The sequence below is a fragment of the Homo sapiens genome, chromosome 9 (genome assembly GCF_000001405.40).
Source record: "Homo sapiens chromosome 9, GRCh38.p14 Primary Assembly".
Lineage (NCBI taxonomy): Eukaryota > Metazoa > Chordata > Mammalia > Primates > Hominidae > Homo > Homo sapiens.
Genome location: NC_000009.12, coordinates 113266684 through 113275646, shown reverse-complemented (window position 1 = coordinate 113275646; position 8963 = coordinate 113266684). Strand labels below are relative to the sequence as shown.

Genomic DNA, 8963 nt, shown 5'->3' with positions numbered 1-8963 from the left:
GAAGTGCGTCACTGACAAGACGTGGGCCAAGAGGGGTCACCGCCCCCGGAGCGGCGCGGAGCATGATGGAAGTCGTAGTAGGAAATGGCGTCGTGGCATTGAGGGGCATCCCTCCTAGAACCTCCAGGAAAAGCTCGCGGAAGACGAGGTTCTGCGGAGAGAGAGGCTCCAAGCAGTCTGGGAAGTGTAGTCCAGTTGGCTTAGCAGTAGTTTCGTTGGGGGGGAGCCGAGGTTCCGGGAAGGGGCTAGGCCGGCTTGAAAAGAGGTAGGTGAGTCGACTCGCGCGGCTCGGGGCTGAACTCTGGAGCGAGTCAAGGGCTTCCGGGGTCCGCTGTGCCCCCCGGGCGTACGGGGGCGTTTACGTCTTCTTGGAGCCGAGGACCATGTTACCATAGAAACCCTTGCCTGGGCTCCGAGGTACAGGCCTGGAGCTAGGGGACGAGGACTGTTCTCCTCCATGGTCCGGAAGTCTTCCCAGGCTCCCCCTCTGAGCTTGATGGCTCGGCGGTGGATTTGGGCTGCGGCGGGAGATTAAGCTAGAAGAGCCCGCTAGTGCCAAAGTCAAATAAAGACCCGGCGGAGGAGCTTCGGCCTGATTTTGTTGATTTGTCTTCAGCCTGGTCTTTGTATCAGATTGAGAGTAAGATGATGGATAGGAAGGTGTCAGGTAACTCTGTACGTCTCTCTGCCCTGCTGGATGCTGGGGCATTAGAGACGAACAGGATAAGGTTTTTATCCCCACATGGGCGGTGGGAGATCCTCAAAATATTGACGTTTCCCTAGCTGGCCAGATCCTCATGCAACCCCCTAGAACAATTACAGCAATAATAGATGTTATTTATTGAACATTTATTAAATGCCAAATAATATTCCAAGAGCTTACTCTGTATTACGTTATTGACTTCCTACAACAGCAGAGTAGGATACAGATGAGGGAACTAAGGTCTAGTGAGAAATGAAACGAATTGTTCAGGATCGGTGGTGTAGTGGGATTAAAACCTGTGCCCTTTAACCTCTACAGCCAGCACTTTTAACTGTTAATCTATACTGCTCCCTAGTGGCCAGTTTTTTGCAGTTTGCAGAAAAGGTAAAATGTATAGATTTTTTTTTCCCCCTTTTAGGTATCCCTATCCCTCTCTTTCCCTCTTTGGAACTTTGGCTTTCTCTACCATTTGTCTGCATTGGAATCTGGTAGAAGATAATGCCTGATTTAGTACAAAGGAATTTGAAATGTAATGTGCCAGTGTTTTGTGTTGATAATATCACCTGTAGTATCCTAAGCTTCATGGGAGAAGGAACTATTTCTTCCTTTGTATACTTCACAGTCCTTAGTTTCATCCTAGATACGTGTAATAATTTGTATCTGTACATACTTTCAAGGAGTTTTCACTTCCATCATTTTCACTTAATGCTTATCATGTTGACCTTTATAATTTTTATAGGAGGCTAAAATTATTAACCAAACTGAACAGCTTGCTTCGATGACTTCTTTATGTGTGAAATAGGAATCATTTTGTCAACTTCACAGGGTTTTTGTGTTAAAATAAGAATGTAAAGAATGGGAATGGAAAAACAGCACGGTGCTCAAGAATGATCTCACCTTCTAGTCAACAAACATTTACTGACTGTTTTTATAGATACACTCTAGGGGATGCTGTGGAGAATATACAAATGATGCCATCAACAGATATTAAACTCAGTTGGGGGGTTGTGTTTTCTCAAAAACAAAACAAAACAAAATGGTTTTTGTTAACATAGTATTACCTTGGGATTTCAGGCTGTGGAATGCTCTCTTGAGCCTTTTTTTTTTTTTTTTTTTTTTTTTGAGTTGGGGTCTCATGGTGAGGTCATGGCTCACGGTGGCAACCTGAAACTCCTGGGCTCAAGTGATCCTTCCACCTCAGCCTCCTGAGTAGCTAGGACTACAGGTACACACTACCAGCCCAGCTATTTTTTTTACTTTTTTGTAGAGACAGGGTCTTGCTACGTTACCAAAGCTGTACTTGAGCCTCCTTGTGCATTCTTCTCTCTGCCTGACCTTCAGAAGTCAACTAAGACATCATTTTCTCCAGGAAGGCTTGCCTGACATCCTTGTCCACCCCACACTCAGCCCAGACTGGATTAGGTGCCTGTGTGATGCCAGTGCTAGTATCCTCATCAGGGTTCTCATTACATGATATCACAGTTTTCTCTTTGTTTTCCCCACAGATTATGACTGTACCTTTTAACTTTGTAGCTGGAACACAAGAAGTGTTTGTTTAATGAATGACGTACACATTTAAGATCTGTTTGGACGCGGAGGATAATCCTGTGAATTGGTGAGTTGGAGTTTTCCTGAGATTTAGCAAACTGATTTTAGCATTCAAGAGTGATCACAAATCTCTGACAATTCTCATGTAGGGTAGATTAAATTCACTGGTTTGTCCACTTTTTCCTCTAACTATACTAAGATGTGATAGTTTATTCTTTTAGCTAGAGTAGTTCTTTGAATGTGACTGGAACATGAGATTAAAGTGATGGTTGCCTAGAATTTCTCTCTTATAGGCAGTTTGCTATTTTAAATTCTTACAGAAAGAGTTTTTGATTTTATAGAGCTGTAGATCTCCATAATGTAACAAAAATGTAATAATCACATACCTAAAGACTTTAGAAGTTGGCTGGGTACAGTAGCTCTTGCCTATAATGCCAGCACTTTGGGAAAATGAGGAGGGAGGAACACTTGAGCCCAAGAGTTTGAGACCAGCCTGGGCATCAGAGAGAGATCCCATTTCTACAAAAAACACAAAAATTAGCCAGGTATGGCGGTGTACGCCTGTAGTCCCAGCTACTCTGGAGGCTGAGGCAGTAAGATTGCTTGAGTCCAGGAAGTTGAGGCTGTAGTGAGCTAAGGTCATGCCACTGCACTCCAGCCTGGGCAAAGAGCAAGATCCTATCTCTTAAAAAAAAAAAAAAAAAGACTTTAGAAGTCTATGTGTAAATTCAAATAAATTTTTAATATTTCCATTCACTTTAGTATACATGCTTGCAAATTGATTTTATGTTTTGTATCTGAGACTTTATCACCTTCAGATTTTCCTCCTCTCTTTCATTTTTAACAGCTAATAGTTCACTGGGTTTGGCCCTTAGTGTTGACTTCAGTATGCTGAGACGGAAACCAACACGCCTAGAGCTAAAGCTTGATGACATTGAAGAGTTTGAGAACATTCGAAAGGACCTGGAGGTATGAATACAACTTTGTGTTTTTTTGAGATGGAGTCTCGCTCTGTCACACAGGCTGGAGTACAGTGGCATGATCTTGGCCCACTGCAACCTCTGCCTCCTCTGCCTCAGCCTCCCGCGTGCTGGGACCACAGGTTCATGCCAGCACGCCCAGCTCATTTTTTTATTTTTAGTAGAGTTGGGGTTTTGCCATGTTGGGGCCAGGCTAGTCTCAACTCCTGACCTCAAGTGATCCATCCACCTCAGCCTCCCAAAGTGCTGGGATTACACGCGTGAGCCACTGCACCCAGCCATGAATACAACTTTCAAAGCTTAAGGAATATTTAAGATAATAATTCTTGTGTGGGCACAGTGGCTTACATCTGTAATGCCAGCATTTTCTGGCCAGGAGTTTGAGACCAGCCTGGGCAACATAGTGAGACCTTGTCTCTATGTTGGGCAGGGTGGCGCATGCCTGAGCTACTCAGGAGGCGGAGGCGGGAGGATTGCTTGAGCCCAGGAGTTTGAGGTTACAGTGTGCTATGATGGCTCCACTGTACTCCACACTGGGCAACAGTGAGACTCTCTGTCATACATAAATATGTATATACACACACATACATACACAATAACTTTAACTTCTGAACTGCAGACTCTTAAGCCAACAGCTTATTTGAAATCTCTGTTTGGATGCTTTACAGGCATCTCAAACTTCATGTATGTCTCCTGTGGCTGCTGTAACAAAGTACCACAAACTTCATCGCTTAAGACAACAGAAATTTATTATTTCACAGTTTTATAGGCCAAAAATTAGTATTGCTGGGCTGAAATTTAGGTGTCAGGAGGGCCACATTCCCTATGGAGGATCTAGGGAAGAATCCATTCCTTGGCTCTTCTAGCTTCTGGTGGCTGCTGGCATTCCTTGACTCATGACTGTATCACTCCAGTCTCTGCCTCCAGAGTCATATTGTCTTCTTTTCTGTCTGTGAAAACTTCCTCTGCCTCCTTCTTATGATATGTGTGATTGTGTTTAGGGCCCACCTGACTAACCCAGGATAATCCCCCCTTCTCAAGATCCTTAATTTAGTCACACCTGCAAAGGCCCTTTTCCCATATAAGGCATTTATAGGTTCCAGGATTAGGACCTGCTAGCTTTGGGGGCCATTTTTCAGCCTACTACACTTAACATGTTAAAAAAAGAAGAGAGAAAAACTCTTGATTTCTCCCTTGAACCAGTCGTCCCTTCCATTCTTCCCCAGTGTTTCCCATCTCAGTATTGATTCAGTTCCTCAGGCCAGAAACCTAGCAGTCATTCCTGAGTCCTCCCTTTCTCTTACGCTTTATATTCGATCTGTCTGTAGACCCTTTGATTCTACCTTCAGAATATGTCTGGAATCCACCCATACCTTTTCATCTCCACTGTTACAGTCCTGCGCTAAGTAACCGTCTTTCCCTGTATAATTGTAGTGGCATCCTAACTGGTCTTCTACTTCCATTTTTGTCTCTTTCAGTGCATTCTGCATCCAGTATCAAGAATGATCTTCAGAAATTTTCAAATCCTGTCATTCCCGTTTAAAACTCCTCAGTAGTTTTCTGCACTTATAACAAAATCTGAATTCTTCACCATGGCCTACAAGATTTTGTATGTTCTAGTGCCTCTCCAGATTCATTTTGTGCCATTCTTTGCCTTGCTCTCTATACCCTAGCCACATTGGCTCTCTTTCATTTCCTTGAACATGCCAATCTATTTATCACTTCCATGGACTTTCCACATATTATTTCCCCCTGCCTGGAGTGCTCCCTTTCTTCCAGTCTTCATTCAAATGTCAACTCTTCAATTTAAGAGGCCACTTTTGACCGTATCCAAGTTTCATGTGTCATTCCCGTCCATGCTGCCTCCATCTCTGTAGGCTCTCACAAAGCACCATATTTTTTTCATAGCATTTATTATAATTTACAATTTTTTTTATTGTAAAATCATTTACATTAGGGACGTTGATTGCAGAAATCATGTCTGTTTGCTTCACCATTGAGTTCTTACCATCTAGTTCATAGTAGGGGCCCCATATGTATTTTTAACTGTGGCCTTGCTACATGGTATTAGATGTCCATTAATAAGACTTAAATTCTTCAGTGGTCTACAGAATAAATTCCAAATTCCCTAGCATGGCATATGAGCTCCTTGTGAGCTGGTCCTTGCTTATCTCTCCACTTTCACTGCTGGGTTATCTTTAATCTCAGTGCCTATACACAGTGTTCCCTTTGCCAGAAAAGCCCTTTCTTTTTCTTTGCCAGGCTAACTCTTACTCCTTCCAGCCCCCAGCTGGGTTAGGCTCAACCTTATCCTCCTGTGCTAACCTCTCTCATAGGCACGGTCACTCTCTGTTGTAATTGTCTGTTTGCTTTTGTTTTCCCTCACTGGGCCATAAGCTCCTTGAAGTCAGGGATTAGTATATTTCTCTCTGCATCTGTTCCCTGCAATACCAGGTCCAAAGGAGGGCTCAATGCAAGTCTATTTTCATTTGCTGTCCTAGTAGGTATCTTGTACTATATGGCAGAGGACAGTACGTTTTGCATATATTCACCAACAGCTTTATTATGTATTGTATATGCTTCATATTAAGACTAATAACTTAGATTTCTTTCCCCCTGCTTCATCCCAAGAGACTTTAGTGTTCTCTAAGTATCGTAATTTTTGCTTTCTAAAAACTCATATATTATTAAGCATGAGCTTTAAAGTATGGCTTAAACTTCAGTTGTAACGAATCTCATAAAATGCTAGCATGCTGAACTTTGACTCTACAGTCAGCTCACTATTGAGTTAGTCTTTCCACTAAAGACAGTTATCTAGTGGGTTTTACCTTGTTTTAGAGTAACTTAGGAAGCAGGGACAGTCATGCCCTAAAGTGAAACCAGTAGAAAACTGGCCTGTTTCATTTATTACCAACATGAGTTTGATTATACTACTGTGACTCTAGCTTCTGAAACAGCAGTTGCTCAAAGTGGGAAGCCTTTTAAGTGATTTCATTCCATTTGGATATTCTCAGAATGATAGAGTTGTTTGCCTTTTCGAACTTGTTTTCACAAAGGTATTTAGGTAGAACTTTCTAACATCACTTACTAGTAATCAGGAAGGTCATTTGCCACATAAAAGGCAATACCTTATTTTATTCCCTGTAATACTTTGTGAGTGTTGGCATTTATTTTTTTTTTTTATTTTTATTGTTGAGACAGGGTCTTGCTCTGTCGCCCTGGCTGGAGTACAGTGGCATGATCACAGCTCACTGCAGCCTTGACCTGCCAGGCTCAGGTGATCCTACCACATCAGGCCCCCTGAATAACTGGGAATACAGGCATGCGCCACCATGCCTGGCTAATTTTTAAATTTTTTTGTGGGCCGGGTGCGGTGGCTCATGCCTGTAAACCCCAGCACCTTGAGAGGCCGAGGCAGGCGGATCACGAGGTCAAGAGATTGAGACCATCCTAGCTAACATGTTGAAACCCTGTCTCTACTAAAAGTGCAAAAATTAGCCAGGTGTGCTGGCATGCGCCTGTAGTCCCAACTACTTGAGAGGCTGAGGCAGGAGAATCGCTTGAACCCAGGAGGCGGAGGTTGCAGTGAGCCAAGATGGCGCCACTACACTCCAGCCTGGCAACAGACAGAGACTCAGTCTAAAGAAAAAAAAAAAATTGTGGAGACAGATGGAGTGTCACTATGTTGCCCAGGCTAGTGTCACACTCCTGGGCTCAAGCAATCCTCCGCCTTGGCCTCCCAAAGCACTGGGATTTACAGGCATGAGCCACTGCGGTCAGCCTGATGCTTGGCATTTAAATGCCCACAGTTCAGCAGCAAGTGGTGAAGAATGGTGGTAATTCCAGTGATTTGAGTAGCTGAGCCATTCTTCTATTAAGTAACTTTGGATAAAACATCATTTCACTCTCTTAGAGAAAGTTATCATCTGTTATCCTTACAGTCAGGTAGTGGCTGTTATGGGATAAGTGTCTGTTTTTGAAAATGATCAAACTAAGACATACTTTCTGGATTCTGCAGTCACATGTGACTTAGGAGCCAAACCTTTTATCTGAAAACAAAATGAAGCCACAAAACCCAGACCTTTTGATAAGATAGCATAAAACCTTCTTGAGTTACTTTTAATCTCATGGGATCAGTCAGGCTATAGATTTTTGGTGGTTATTTCTTTACCCAATTTATTTTTCTATTCTCTAGAATAATAAATTTGTTGAAATGCCCTTTGCTCTCACTTGTCTGCTCTTACAGCTTTCCAATTGTAGCTTCCTGTTGTACCACCACACCCCAACTCCTTACCTCTTGTCTCTTTGGCAGTGTAGACTTCTCTCTGTCATAGGTCATAGCCCTGATCACCCTATAATCGTCTGTTTGCCTGTTTCCCTATTAGACTGTGACATCCTGGAGGGTAGGGGTTACATCTTTTGTTTTTTTTAAGACAGAGTCTCGCTCTGTCGCCAGGCTGGAGTGCAGTGGCACCATCTCAGCTCTCTGCAACCTCCGACTTCCTGGTTCAAGCGATTCTCCTGCCTCAGCCTCCCAAGTAGCTGGGATTACAGGCATGCGCCACCATGCCCAGCTAATTTTTGTATTTTTAGTAGAGATGGAGTTTCACCATGTTGGCTAGGGTGGTCTCGATCTCCTGACCTCGTGATCCGCTCGCCTCAGCCTCCCAAAGGGCTGGGATTACAGATGTGAGCCACCGTGCCCCGCCAAATTTTTGTATTTTTAGTAGAGATAGGGTTTCACCATGTTTGCCAGGCTAGTCTCGAACTCCTGACCTCAAGTGATCAGGGGTTACAACTTTTAACACCATATCCTCATTGTGCCCCTAAGTACTCCAAACCTAGGATTTCAGTTTATTGTTCTTTACACCCTAACTCTATCATTTAGCCCATGCCTAGTACATGGTAGGTGTTCTAAATAAACATTTGCTAATTGAAAGAATGTTGCCTTAATCCTAAAACTTTTATACTTTCAGACCCGTAAGAAACAGAAGGAAGATGTGGAAGTTGTAGGAGGCAGTGATGGAGAAGGAGCCATTGGGCTTAGCAGTGATCCCAAGAGCCGGGAACAAATGATCAATGATCGGATTGGTTATAAACCCCAACCCAAGCCCAATAATCGTTCATCTCAATTTGGAAGTCTTGAATTTTAGAGATGGATTATCTTGCATGCCAGAGCGCTGGAATGGAATAAAATGATGGCAGAAGTACAAACCAGATTTAGAGAATTGAGTGCTTGCAGTCAAGCAGAATGTACCTCCTGCAGAGACAAATCTTCTGCATGAGATTACTGATGCTTCACTTGCACTCTAAGCTGGAATCCAAACTCTGGTTTGTCTCTTGAAAATTTGACTCTATAAAACTGATCTGATTTTCTGTTTTTAAAAATAAATATATTTTTGGAAAAATGTGAGGCATCCTTAATGAAGTATAACAGTACTGTTAATTCCCAGACTTTAAAAGATAATTGCTACAAGATTAACATCATTCTTTCCATCTTTATTAAAAGACCCTAAGCACAGGACACTCTAGTTGATCCCTGCCACTTTCACTTAACCCATCTATTCAATAAGTATTTATTGAGTGTCTACCATGTGCCACTCAACAAAGATCCCTGCCCTTGTAGAAATTAAATTCTAGTGGATATTGTGTAAATCTGAAGAAATTGTAGGTACCCGATCTCTTTACAGAATGGCTTTGTAACTAGTTTGGGTATAATGTTGGGAGGACAG

The 8963-nt window shown here is 42.8% G+C and overlaps 1 protein-coding gene across 7 annotated transcripts, besides 3 other annotated features; it reads left to right on the top strand.

Annotated features, from left to right (window-relative positions):
* Positions 2-341: an enhancer, noted in NCBI's record as "active region_28836". NCBI's record gives its function as "activates an Ori minimal core promoter by ATAC-STARR-seq in GM12878 lymphoblastoid cells {active_cell/tissue: GM12878}" and the evidence as "EXISTENCE:reporter gene assay evidence [ECO:0000049][PMID:35858748]".
* Positions 2-964: a biological region, named in NCBI's record as "NANOG-H3K27ac-H3K4me1 hESC enhancer GRCh37_chr9:116036963-116037818".
* CDC26 (cell division cycle 26) lies at positions 75-8655 on the top strand. 7 transcript variants are annotated; one of them, XM_017014575.2, is made up of 4 exons: positions 75-265; positions 2237-2318; positions 3099-3220; positions 8208-8655. In XM_017014575.2, exons 3-4 carry the CDS (start codon positions 3140-3142, stop codon positions 8382-8384), a joined length of 258 nt encoding a protein of 85 aa, XP_016870064.1. In that variant the 5' UTR covers positions 75-265; positions 2237-2318; positions 3099-3139; the 3' UTR covers positions 8385-8655. The 7 variants fall into 7 exon arrangements, with proteins under 7 accessions (XP_016870064.1, NP_644815.1, XP_047279101.1 ...); NM_139286.4 differs by having other exon boundaries at positions 2209-2318; XM_047423145.1 differs by having other exon boundaries at positions 75-269.
* Positions 109-964: an enhancer, noted in NCBI's record as "NANOG-H3K27ac-H3K4me1 hESC enhancer chr9:116036963-116037818 (GRCh37/hg19 assembly coordinates)". NCBI's record gives its function as "activates a minimal SCP1, AML or CMV promoter by ChIP-STARR-seq in primed H9 embryonic stem cells {active_cell/tissue: H9 hESC(primed)}" and the evidence as "EXISTENCE:reporter gene assay evidence [ECO:0000049][PMID:30033119]".
* Positions 8656-8963: the final 308 nt, after the last annotated feature.